General features: G+C 39.7%; 1 protein-coding gene across 25 annotated transcripts in view; it reads left to right on the plus strand.

The window, feature by feature from the left end:
* BCL2L13 (BCL2 like 13) overlaps positions 1 to 12,607 on the plus strand; it is a 101,979-nt gene that overhangs the window by 59,150 nt on the left and 30,222 nt on the right. For 11 of the 25 annotated variants that reach the window (XM_047441286.1, XM_011546120.2, XM_011546119.2 and 8 more), the window contains 2 exons: positions 960 to 1,116; positions 8,115 to 8,184. The exons of 4 other annotated variants lie outside the window; for them this stretch is intronic. In XM_047441286.1, the coding sequence (XP_047297242.1) occupies positions 960 to 1,116; positions 8,115 to 8,184 (227 nt within the window). Of the gene's footprint in view, positions 1 to 959; positions 1,117 to 4,329; positions 5,304 to 8,114; positions 8,185 to 12,607 lie in introns of those variants that run through there. 10 more of the 25 variants (NR_073068.1, NR_073069.1, XM_047441291.1 and 7 more) reach the window with 3 other exon arrangements.

Genomic DNA, 12,607 nt, shown 5'->3' on the forward strand with positions numbered 1-12,607 from the left:
AAGCTGGTCTCGAACTCCTGACCTCAGGTGATCTGCCCAGCCTTGGCCTCCCAAAGTGCTGGGATTACAGGCATGCGCCACCGCGCCCGGCCTTAATATTTTGTATTTTTAGTAGAGATGTGGTTTTGCCATGATGCCCAGGCTGGTCTCGAACTCCTGGACTCAAACCATCTGCACACCTCAGCCTCCCAAAATGCTGGGATTACAGGCATGAGTCACTGTGCTCGGCTTCTGGTTCAACTTTTATACTTGTTTGTATAATCTTCATATAATAGTTTGAAAATTTATCCATGTGTAGTAATATTAAGGTTGAAAGTTCATTTTAATAAGGAAATGAAAGCAATGGACTCATCCTCTGAGGATGATTAGAATCTGATATAAGTGCCAGTTTTATAAATGTAAAACAAAATCTTAAAAACAGAATTTTAAGAGAAGGATAATAGAGCCAGGAATTGCTTCTCATTTATCATTATTATACTTGTTGGTCAGTAATCATAAACTAAATTGATTAGCTTATTATAACATGTCAGTTTAGTTGTTTCTTTTCTCTTAAATCTAAGCTTTTTCATTAAAACCTAAAAGAACCTCTAAATTTATGACCTATCAATGTTTACGTGCCAACAAAGATTAATGTCCACAATGATTATCTGACCTTTTTAAGTGGCTTGTAATGATTAGCTTGTTCCTAATAGTGGGTGTCTTAATCCTGTGGCCTTTTATAGCGCAACTTTTGATATTGTTGTTTTTTTTTTTTTTTTGAGACGGAGTTTCCCTCTTGTTGCCCAGGCTGGAGTGCAGTGGCGTGATCTTGGCTCACCACAACCTCTGCCTCCTGGGTTCAAGTGATTCTCCTGCCTCAGCCTCCTGAGTAGCTGGGATTACAGGCATGTGCCACCACACCCAGCTAATTTTATAGATATTGTTTATTATATTAGGTTTTTCTTTTGTCCTATCTTCAGCCTTCACCAGCACAGGCTTTGACCGTCACACTTCTCCAGTGTTCAGCCCTGCCAATCCAGAAAGCTCAATGGAAGACTGCTTGGCCCATCTTGGAGAAAAAGTGTCCCAGGAACTGAAAGAGCCTCTCCATAAAGCATTGCAAATGCTCCTGAGCCAGTGAGTTACACTGCTGAGTGGGATGTGCTTCTTTAAGTAGTCTCTGGATCTCTCATGCAGCACTGGATTGGTTAGGGCTGTGTTTTAGGTGAACAGTGTCACTTCTTTTCTCACTTTTCTTTACATTTTCTTCATTTTCTTTCCCAAAGCATCTCTGTGTTTTGAATGACAGCTTTGCTTTAAAGGAGTGATTTAGCTATTCCAACATAGATTTGTTAATTTGTATTTATATGTTGAGCTGTCAGGTTTCACCGAATGCTTTTACCAAGTAGTAAATACAAGCTATTTCACTTCCCCAGACCACTTTTTACTGCCATTTCCTCTAGTCGTGACATGAATATAATGGCTAGCGTTTTGTGCGTTGTAATGTGGGATTAACATTATATCTGTATTTTAGAATTCTGTATTTAACATTTTATTGACCGGGCGCGGTGGCTCACGCCTGTAATCCCAGCACTTTGGGAGGCCGAGGTGGGCGGATTATGAGGTCAGGAGTTCAAGACCAGCCTGGCCAATATGGTGAAACCTCGTCTCTACTAAAAATATAAAACTTAGCCGGGCATGGTGGCGCATGCCTCTAGTCCCAGCTACTCGAGAGACTGAGGGAGGACAATCACTTGAACCCGGGAGGCAGAGGTTGCAGTGAGCCGAGATCCTGCCACTGCACTGCAGCCTGGGTGACAGAGCGAGACTCCATCTCAAAAAAAAAAAAAAAAAACCCAAAAAACCGTTATATCTGTATCCCAGAAGTTGCTCAACTTTAGGGTTGCACATCTGCCAATGGAACTGCTTCTACATTCTTATAGAAGGAACTTCTCTCCTAGCTATGGTTCTGACCATATTAAAGCTAAAGGCAAGAAGCTAGTAATAAGGAAAGTATTAAAATAGAACCAAATCATTTATTATAAATATTAAAAATCAGCCTGTAATCCCAGCACTTTGGGAGGACGAGGTGGAGGTATCACTGGAAGTCAGGAGTTGGAGACCAGCCTGGCCAACATGGTGAAACCCCATCTCTAGTAAAAATACAAAAATTAGCTGAGCATGGTGGCAGGTGCCTATAATCCCAGCTACTCGGGAGGCTGAGGCAGGAGTATCGCTTGAACCCAGGAGGCGGAGGTTGCAGTGAGCTGAGATCATGCCATTGCACTCCAGCCTGCATGACAGAGGGAGACTCCATCTGAAAGAAAAAAATTTTTTTTTTATTTTCCTGTAAGCAAAGTATATATCGATTACCGTTTGTTAGAAGAAAGTAATTTGGGTTTTAGGAGAATTTGATTTTTTGTTGCGTAGTATTGTGAAATGAGCAAATGTAAAAATACTAATTATGCTTAAACAGTGAAATGAAATCGTATTTGGTAATCTCAGTACTTTGGGAGGTCCAGGCGGGAGGATTGCTTGAGGCCAGGAGTTAAAGACCAGCCTGGGCAATATAGCCAGACCCTGTCTCTACAAAAAAAATGTTTAGAAAATTAGCCAGTGTGATGGCATGTTCCTGTAGTCCCAGCCACTTGGGAGGCTGAGGTGGGAGGATCACTTGAGCCCAATAGTTTGAGGCTGCAGTAAGCTATGATCACACCACTGTGGCACTCCAACCTGGGCAACAGAGCAAGACCTTGTCTCTAAAAATAAAAATTAAAAAAGTCGTATTTGGATTTTCTTAACCTAATATATAGTAAAATTTAAATATAAATATGGAGAGAAGTATATGGGTGTTGGGAAATAAAACTTACACAGGAAATTTGGATTTACAGCAGTTGTTTTCAAAAAGTGTTCTATGGAGCCTTAGGCATAGAGGTGCTGCAGGGGTCCTGAAGAAGTGAGGGATAGTAAGTGGGTTAAGCTCATTAGGGCCTCTCCACTCTTCTTTCTTTTTTATTTATTTATTTATTTTAAATTTTTTGTAGAGACAGGGTCTCACTATGTTACCCAGACTAGTCTTATAACTCCTGGCCTCAAGCAACTCTCCCACCTCAGCCTCCCCAAAGTGCTAAGATTACAGGTGTGAGCCATTGTACCTAGCCTTATTTATTTATTTTCCCACTTTTCTTAACCAGAGCACGTGTACTTTCATATATTTTATATTCTGAGGTTACATCTAAGACTTGAAGAAAGAAATTTGCTGCTTCACTCCTCTCTCCACAAAAATGTAAAAGTTATCTGGACCAGGAGTAAAATAATGAAGTGAAAGGTGCAGACTTTTAAAATAATCTTTTTGTCCTGGCTGGGCGCGGTGGCTCACGCCTGTAATCCCAGCACTTGGGGAGGCCGAGGCGGGCGTATCACGAGGTCAGGAGATTGAGACCATCCTGGCTAACACAGTGAAACCCCGTCTCTACTAAAAATACAAAAAATTAGCCCAGCATGGTGGTGGGTGCCTGTAGTCCCAGCCACTCAGGAGGCTGAGGCAGGAGAATGGTGTGAACCTGGGAGGCGGAGCTTGCAGTGAGCCGAGATTGCACCACTGCACTCCAGCCTGGGTGACAGAGCAAGACTCTGTCTCAAAAACAAAAAAAAAAGAATCTTTTTCCAAATTTGATACAGACTTTGGCTTGGAGCAAACCATGTCACCCTTAATATTTCAGTTCTCCATGTGTTAATTTTAACTTTATGGTGTAGTATAAGCTCTTCAAAAAACAGTGTTATGTAAGTTTTTAAAAGTATTGTTTCTGAAGTCCTTTTTATGATCTACAGGAAAAATTGATGTCTTCTCACAGCAAATTCTATTTAAAGGAGAATTGGCTTGGACAAATGTTTATTTTTTTCCCAAATCTTGATAGAATTATTTTTGAAATTGGTTATGTATCAAAGTCAGGTCTCTTTCTTTTTTCAGAAATCTGTTTTTAGAAGTTTTAAGCTCTGTTACTAGTACTTTGAAAATAACTAATGGATGATAAACTACATAAACTAGAAGTATTATAAACGTTGAAGGCAGTATCGTAAGGTAGAAAATACCACTGATTCCTCCAAAAGGTTTTGTTAATGTAGGAAGTTATTGCTGAACCCTTCTTACAGAAGAACAACAGCTGTTTCAAAAAGGTATCCTGCCCCGCTCTTTTCTTCTTTGCTCTATTCTAATAGCTCACTAGGTAGGATTGGTTATTTAGCTACTTACTTTTCTATGTATTTGATTTCCTTTGAATGTTTTAATCTGCTGCATTTTTTGTGCATGTATGTCTGTGTATATGATGTTTCAAATCATGTTTCATTCAGAACGATGCTAAAATACTTTAGCCTGGTAGACAAACAACCAGTAAGGACTACTGTGACCCCCAGCAGCACCAAACAGTTCAGGAAAGGAAGTGAGGGGACTGATATATGCAAGTAAAGCTTCAGGGAAACTATAGGTAGGTAGACTGTGTAGTATCTGCTGAAGTTCAAGGTTTACACGAATCTGCTACTTAGCCCAAGGCATCTGAAAAGTACTAGGCTCACTTTAATGGGAAGGTGATGCCAGGAAGATAGCATATGCTGTATACATTTCATCATTACAGAGGCCATCTCTGGTATCTCATTTCCTTTCAGCATCACTGTAGTATTGATTTGATACAGACTTAGGTGAAAGAATGATGCCTGTGTCATCAGGATTCTTTTCTGAAATATCTAGACCAGTGCGATTCAATGCAAGTCACATATAATGTGGTTTTAAAATGTAATTAAAAACTAGCAGCCAAGTAAAAAATAAAATGAAATGTAAAATTTTTAATATTTTATTTAGCCCAGTACATCTAAAATATTTCAACATGTATTCAGTACAAAAAATTATCGAGCTATTTTGGATTGTTTTTTCTTCCTCATTGAAATCTAGTGTGTATATTATACTTTCAGCACACTGGCCACGTTTCTAATGCTCATTAGCCACATGTGACATCGAGACATTGTCATGGCATGTGTCAGAATCTTAACTTGAAATGGGAGTAGTATAATGGCCTTTGATACCAGATCTGAGTGTGAATTCCTGCCTTGCTGCTTTCCGGCTATGTGGGTTTGGGATAATTTCTTAGCTTTTCTGAGCTTTGGTTTCCAAATATGTGATATAATAATATGTAATATAAAATATAAATATATGAAATATTAAAACCTAACATAATAAGCTACCAGTAAGTGGTAGCTATTATCAATCTTAAATATTCTTAAACTAAGGAAGTCATAGGTCACAGTGGACAGAGCAGAAAAATGCCTTTGGGGTAGTTTATTTATTTATTTATTTATTTATTTATTTAGTGTTTGTTTTTTTTTTTTTTTTTTTTTTTTGGAGACGGAGTCTCGCTCTGTCACCCAGGCTGGAGTGCAGTGGTGCAATCTCGGCTCACTACAACTTCCGCCTCCCGGGTTCAAGCAATTCTCCAGCCTCAGTCTCCTGAGTAGCTGGGATTACAGGCATGCGCCAACACGCGCAGCTAATTTTTGTATTTTTAGTAGAGACATGGTTTCACCAGGTTGGCCAGGCTGGTCTTGAACTCCTGACCTCAGGTGATCCACCCACCTCAGCCTCCCAAAGTGCTGGGATTACAGGCGTGAGCCACAGCACCTGGCTGGGGTGGGATTTTAAAACTCTGCAAAAGCAAGACTCCTTCTCTTCTTTCTTTCCTTTTTCTTTTTTTTTAATTTGAGATGGAGTTTCGCTCTTGTTGCCCAGACTGAAGTGCAGTGGCGCAGTCTCGGCTCAACTGCAACCTCCACCTCCTGGGTTCAAGCCATTCTCCTGCCTCAGCCTCCTGAGCAGCTGGGATTAGAGGCGAGTGCCACCACACCAGGCTAATTTTTGTATTTTTTTTTCTAATTTTTGTATTTTTAGTAGAGACGGGTTTCACCATGTTGGTCAGGCTGATCTTGAATTCCTGACTTCAAGCGATCCACCTGCCTTGGCCTCCCAAAGTGTTGGGATTACAGGCGTGAGCCACTGCACCCAGCCCATTCTTTCTTAACATGTTTGTTAATACTTTGCCCAAAAGGAGGGAAGGTAAATTTTTAATCTATTAATTTTTAATTAATAGATTTTTTTAATTTTAAATCTGTTATCTGAACAATTGATGCCTTCATATGTTACTTGGTCCCCAAGTCTTTTGTTTTTAAAATTTATGCATGAAACCGTGCTTTAAATAAAGTACTTGAAGTCACTCAACAAATGAGTGAGTGTTGTTAATGATTCGAGTTTTTGGTATGACTAGGACTTACATAGAAATAATCAGAAAGGCTTATCTCTCTACCCTTGTATCATAACACTCCAAGTTAAAAATAGGACTCCAGCTAGGGGTGGTGGGACAGGCCTGTAATCCCAGCTAGCACTGAGGCTGAGGTAGGAGGCATCAGTTGGGCCCAAGGAGTTTGAGACCATCCTGGGCAACATAGGTGACTCCATTTAAAAAAAAAAATTTTTTTTTAATTTTTAGTCTTGCACTGTCTTGCACTGTCACCAGTGCAAATATTTCAACATGTATTCAGTACAAAAAATTATTGAGCTATTTTAGATTGTTTTTTCTTCCTCATTGAAATCTAGTGTGTATATTATACTTTCAGCACACTGGCTACGTTTCTAATGCTCATTAGCTACATGTGACATCGAGACATTGTCATGGCATGTGTCAGAATCTTAACATCCAACAGGCCAACAACTGTGGTGAGGTGCCATTGATTATCAGATGAAACCTGATTTCAAAATGTTAAAATGCAGGTGGTGGGGAAAATGTGTGTCCCTGAATCTACAACCGTCTTCCCTGATTCTGTTTTCAGTCTGTGGTCAGAGAGATCTGAGTTCAAATCCCAGCCACACCACTTCCCAGCTGTAGGATGTATTAATTGAGGTAGGCTGAGATTTGCTGCAATCCCTCAATCTCAGTGACTTCACGAGAGAAAAGTTCCTTTGGCGTCATGCAAATCTGCTACAGGTGTGGCCACGTAGCAATGCGAGGAACCACTTGGAACTTATGGTTCCAGGACCTCAACACAGCCTCGTCTACCACCATCAGGGCAAGAAAGAGAAAGAGACTGGATAATTACAGAAAGTCTCTTCCTGCTTCAGCCAGGAAGTGGCACCCATCACTTCCACCCACATTTCATTGGCTGGGCTAACCACATGGCCCTGCTTAACTGCAAGGGGCTGGAAAATATACTTTCCTGGATACTCAGGAAGAAGGAAAGACCAAAATATTCATGCCAATAGTTAAATCTAGCATGGTAACGTTCAGCCTTCCCTGAGCCTTCGTTTCTTGTAAACTCCCAACACTGGAGTTCAGTGGTGCGATCTCGGCTCACTGCAATCTCCGCCTCCCTGGTTCAAGCGATTCCCCTGCCTTAGCCTCCCGAGTTGCTGGGACTACAGGCACACACCATCATGCCTGGCTAATTTTTTGTATTTTAGTAGAGACGGGGTTTCACCATGTTGGCCAGGATAGTCTTGATCTCCTGACTTCGTGATCCACCTGCCTCGGCCTCTCAAAGTGCTGGGATTACAGGCATGAGCCACCATGCCCAGCCAAAAAAAATTTTTTTAATTAAAAATTTAAAAAGTGGACTCAATTTATTGCGATATTTATTTCAACTCTTGTCTCCTCAATATGAAAAGTCTTCCAGTGACATGTCTCTTTAGTTTTAAAATATTTTAGATTTTTTACCTTTAAAAAAAGTTAAAATTCTGGTTTTCATTGTGCTAATGAGATCATTTTTGTTATTATTTTATCCTGTATTAATAATTCAGGTATTTCTTTGCAGCATAAAAATCCTATCCTGTAAGTTCCAAGCAGTTACAAAAAAATTACTAGAATATACATTTATCTTGCTATGTTATTAACTATTTCCCAGGCATGCATCACAGCTTATAGAATGCTTGAAAAAAGTGCATACTAGTGTGAAAAGCCACGTCTTGTACAAAACAGTATGTTGAATAATCTTTGTCAGTTTAGCAAAAAGTTCAACAGAGTAGTGACTGTATATGTATTCATCTGGAAATACAGAATTTTCCTTCTTTGTGACACAGACTTTTAAAAAAATCTCTACAGGCCAGTGACATATCAGGCATTTCGGGAATGTACACTGGAGACCACAGTTCATGCCAGCGGCTGGAATAAGGTATCATCACAATGATCTTTTCTCTTAAAAGATTTTAGTGTGTTAATGATAAGACGTAGGAGGAATTGCTAGCATCATCAGCAGAAAACTGTTAGAGCTCATTCTTTAATGCACAAATCTATGTTAAGGGGATATTTTTGGTTAAACTGGTTTTTCGATTAATGCTGCAAGGTCCTGCTTGGCTCAAAATTATGTGTCCTATAGTATGGCCCCTTCCTTTCTGTCCCAATTTTCCCATCATTTCTTCATTTCTCTGTGTTAGACATAACATTTATCTCCAGATGGTTATATATTTATTAACATGTGAGTGTGTCTTGGGGAAAAAGAATACAGACTTTACTTGGGAGGTAGCCTCTTCCTGTTCTCTTAGATGAATAATACCATTTATGTTTTATAACTTACACAGTGTCTCGTGTCACATACCATTTGAGCATCCCAACCATCCTTTGCAGAAGACAGAATGGATTTTATTAGGTCTTCTTTATTACTTAGCTAGTTAGGTAGGTAATCAGAAAGAAAAGTTAAATGACTTGCCTAGAATCCCTTGACCAGTCAATATTGGAACCAACACTAGAGCTAAGATCTGATTCTAGCGTCTGTTTTTTCCACTGTACATGTTGCTTATCTATTATCTTAGACTGTATTATTTACTTAGCACCTTGAGAAGGCAGGGTATAGGGGGATGCAGTATAGGGTGGCTTAGTGCAGTGTGAGAAAGAAGGGCAGCCCTGAGGGATACAGTGCTAGAGATGAGAAAATTCAGGACAGTTACTTTTATAGACACCTACCTCTATTTGGAATTGTTTGTCATGAGTCAGACATGTGACCTTATGTACCTAATTGATGTATATTAGGTACATAACCAAACTTGTTTCAGATTTTAGCTTTGCCATGGACTGGATATATGTCTGTGGGCAGGTTCTCTTTAAAAAAAAAAAAAAATTTCGGCCGGGTGCAGTGGCTCATGCCTGTAATCCCATCACTTTGGGAGGCCGAGGTGGGCGGATCACCTGAGGTTGAGAGTTTGCAACCAGCCTGACCAACGTGGAGAATCGCCGTCTCTACTAAAAATACAAAATTAGCTGGGCATGGTGGCGCATGCCTGTAGTCTCAGCTACTCAGGAGGCTGAGGCAGGAGAATTGCTTAAACCCGGGAGTTGGAGGTTGTGGTGAGCCAAGATTGCGCCATTGCATTCCAGCCTAGGCAACAAAAGTGAAACTCCGTCTCAAAAAAAAATAAAATTTCAACTTTTATTTTAGATTCGGGGGACATGTATGTGCAGGTTTGTTATAGGAAGCTCTCTGAGTCTTAGTTTTCTCATTTGTGAAATGGGAAACAATAATACTAGTCTCATAAGTTTTATTAGAATTAAATGAGATAATACATGTTCAGTACTTATTAAGCATATTATCAGGCACCATAGTAAAGCTCAGTAAACAGCAGCTATTATATTAGCTTTAACACATGGGACCTTATTCTCAAATAGTCACTATTAACAGAGTATTAGTATGTTACCTATCGGTACATAATTTGTTAAGATATCTATTTGCCTCGTTTGTTTTTTTGGAATAAGAGAAAATATTCTCTCTGATATAGACATTTGAAATAGACTTATTTTATTTATTTATTTATTTTGAGACAGAGTCTAACTCTGTCGCCCAGGCCAGAGTGCAGTGGCTTGATCTTGGCTCACTGCAACCTCCGCCTCCCAGGTTCAAGCGATTCTCCCAAATAGCTGGAATTATAGGCACCTGCCACCTTGCCCAGCTAATTTTTGTATTCTTAGTAGAGATGGGGTTTCACTGTGTTGGCCAGGCTGGTCTCCAACCCTGACCTCATGATCCGCTGCTCACCTCAATCTCCCAAATTGCTGGGATTACAAGTGTGAGCCACTGTGCCTGGCCTTTTTTTTTTTCAAGTTGGAGTCTCGCTTTGTTGTCCAGGCCTGGAGTGCATTGGTGCAATCTCGGCTCACTCACTGCAGCCTTTCCCTTCCGGGTTCAAGCAATTCTCCTGCCTCAACCTCCCAAGTAGCTGGGCTTGCAGGTGCCCACCACTATGCCCAGCTAATTTTTGTACTTTTAGTAGAGACAGGGTCTTGCCATGTTGGCCAGGCTGGTCTCAAACTCCTGACCTCAGGTGATCTGCCTCTGTTGGCCTCCCAAAGTGATGGGATTACAGGCATGAGCCACCCTACCTGGCCTGAAATAGATTTTATAAAGGGCTGGATGCAGTACAGTAGCTCACACCTGTAATCCCAGCACTTTAGAAGGCCAAGGCGGGAGGATCACTTACGCCCAGGAGTTTGAGACCAGGCTGGGCAACATAGCAAGACCCTGTCTCTTAAAAAAAAAAAAAAAAAAAAAGCCATACATGGTGGTGTGCACCTGTATTCTGAGCCGAGCTATTTGGGAGGCTGAGGTGAGAGGATGGCTTGAGCCTGGGAGGTGGAGGTTGCAGTGAGCCGAGATCATGCCACTGTATTCCAGCCTGGGCAACAGAGCCAGACTGTCTCAGAAAAAAAAGAAAAGAAAGCCCATACCTATTAGTAGTCACTCCACCTGTTAGTAGTTACTCCCCATTTTCTTTCCTGCTCCTCCCAGCCCCCGACAACAATGACTACTTTCTGTCTTAATGAATTTGTCTTTTCTGGACATTTCAAATAAATGGAGTAATATAATATGTGATTGAAGTCTCTTTTAATATGTAGACTTATCCTCCCTCTTTTTTCCTCTCTTTAATTCAGTTACAAGTTATTTTTCCTGTAAAATGTTCTCATTTCTGGGTTTTATTGACTATATCACTGAGATGTCACTTAACATGTTCTTCTGTGTCTGTATTTCCTTCCTGATCAGATTCAGGTTCAATCTTTTTGGCAAGAATACCTAATGAGTGGTTTTATCTATTTCCTATTGCATCACACTGGGTGACATATAATATCTGGTTGTCTCTTACATTGTATTTTGAAGCACACAAATCAAAGACAAACCTAATCAATGAATTCAGTACAGATAAAATTTGTAGAATATGATTTTTATTAGGACTGTTAAGTCACAGAAGGGTTAAATAGATTGGTAGAGCAAAATATGTCACTGTTATCATAAATATTCATTGTAATGAAAGGGACTCTCAGAACTATAAATTAGTACGCTTCATTTCTACACCAAGCAAGCTCATATATTATTTAATAAAAGGATAATGTCCCTAAATTTAAGTAGGTCTAACCTGTTAAACAAAGAGACCACATAGTGTACGAAGAGATGTCAGGAGATTAAATAAGTGTGTGGATAAAGGTAAGCCAGTGGAGGTAATCTGTTTTGATGGTCAAAAATACTTTAGCATTTCATTGCAAAAACAATTGAAGAAAAAAAATTATATATGATGTGGGGATTACTGTTATCCAGTAAGGAAATGACTTTTGAGAAAGAATCAAAGATAAAACTATTTGCTGACTTTTTAGACCTAGACATGTGAATCGTGGGTTCTTCTAGGAGTGGATGCCTGGGGATCTAGTTTTGTTTTAACATTTAAAAAAAGTAATGTGGGAGATGAGAGTCCAAAAAAAATCAGTTGTGCAGATTATGTAAAATTCTTGTGGATAGTAAAATGTCAAGTTGATGGAGGTCAGTTGTAGAATTAACTCATGGAGCTTTGTGTGTAGGATTATGTGTAAATCCTCTTAGGATTTAGCTGCTTAAAGACAATCTAAACGGTACAGTGGCCTTGGACGTCATCATACAGGTCCCTGAAGATAGCATGCCAAATAGGTAAGCCTGGTATATGGTAGTCATTTAATAACTGTATGAGGAATGAAGGGAAAAAAACGAATCATCTGACATAGCATGTACCACCAAGAAGCGTATTACCAACCGCATAGAAAATGTCCGTCCTGAAAAATGACATTTCTGCTCTGTGGTTACTGCGTTTCAAGAAAGATACTGGAATAGGGAAGATCCAGAAAAGGGAACTTAAGTGATCAAATGGATCACTTTGCATTGCAATGGAGCAATGGCCATATGAAAAACAGAATAAGAGAATAGTGGATTTCAGACTGGAAGTCTAGTGAATGAGGCTTTTCACTCCTCTTCCAGGAGTGAAAGAGAATTGCAGATTTATCACTAGATTCTTACATAGTAAAACTAGGGTGTCTGCTTTTCGATATATGAAAGAGTTAAATTTGGAACAAATAAAACTAAGTGGTATTTTATATAACAAGCATAAAATATTTACAACTCATTTCCCCAAGAGGTAATAGAGCTTAAACATGAATAACTTTAAAATGTTACATTATTGTGGATTATTATGGGAAATTAGAATGTTTTGAAGTCCAGAACATCCCGGGCCTTTAAGTTGATACACAGGTTAGCACCACTGGTTCATAAGCCACTCCTTACCTGCTTCTACCCGAGGCAAAATATAAAC

Source organism: Homo sapiens, chromosome 22 (assembly GCF_000001405.40).
Source record: "Homo sapiens chromosome 22, GRCh38.p14 Primary Assembly".
NCBI lineage: Eukaryota > Metazoa > Chordata > Mammalia > Primates > Hominidae > Homo > Homo sapiens.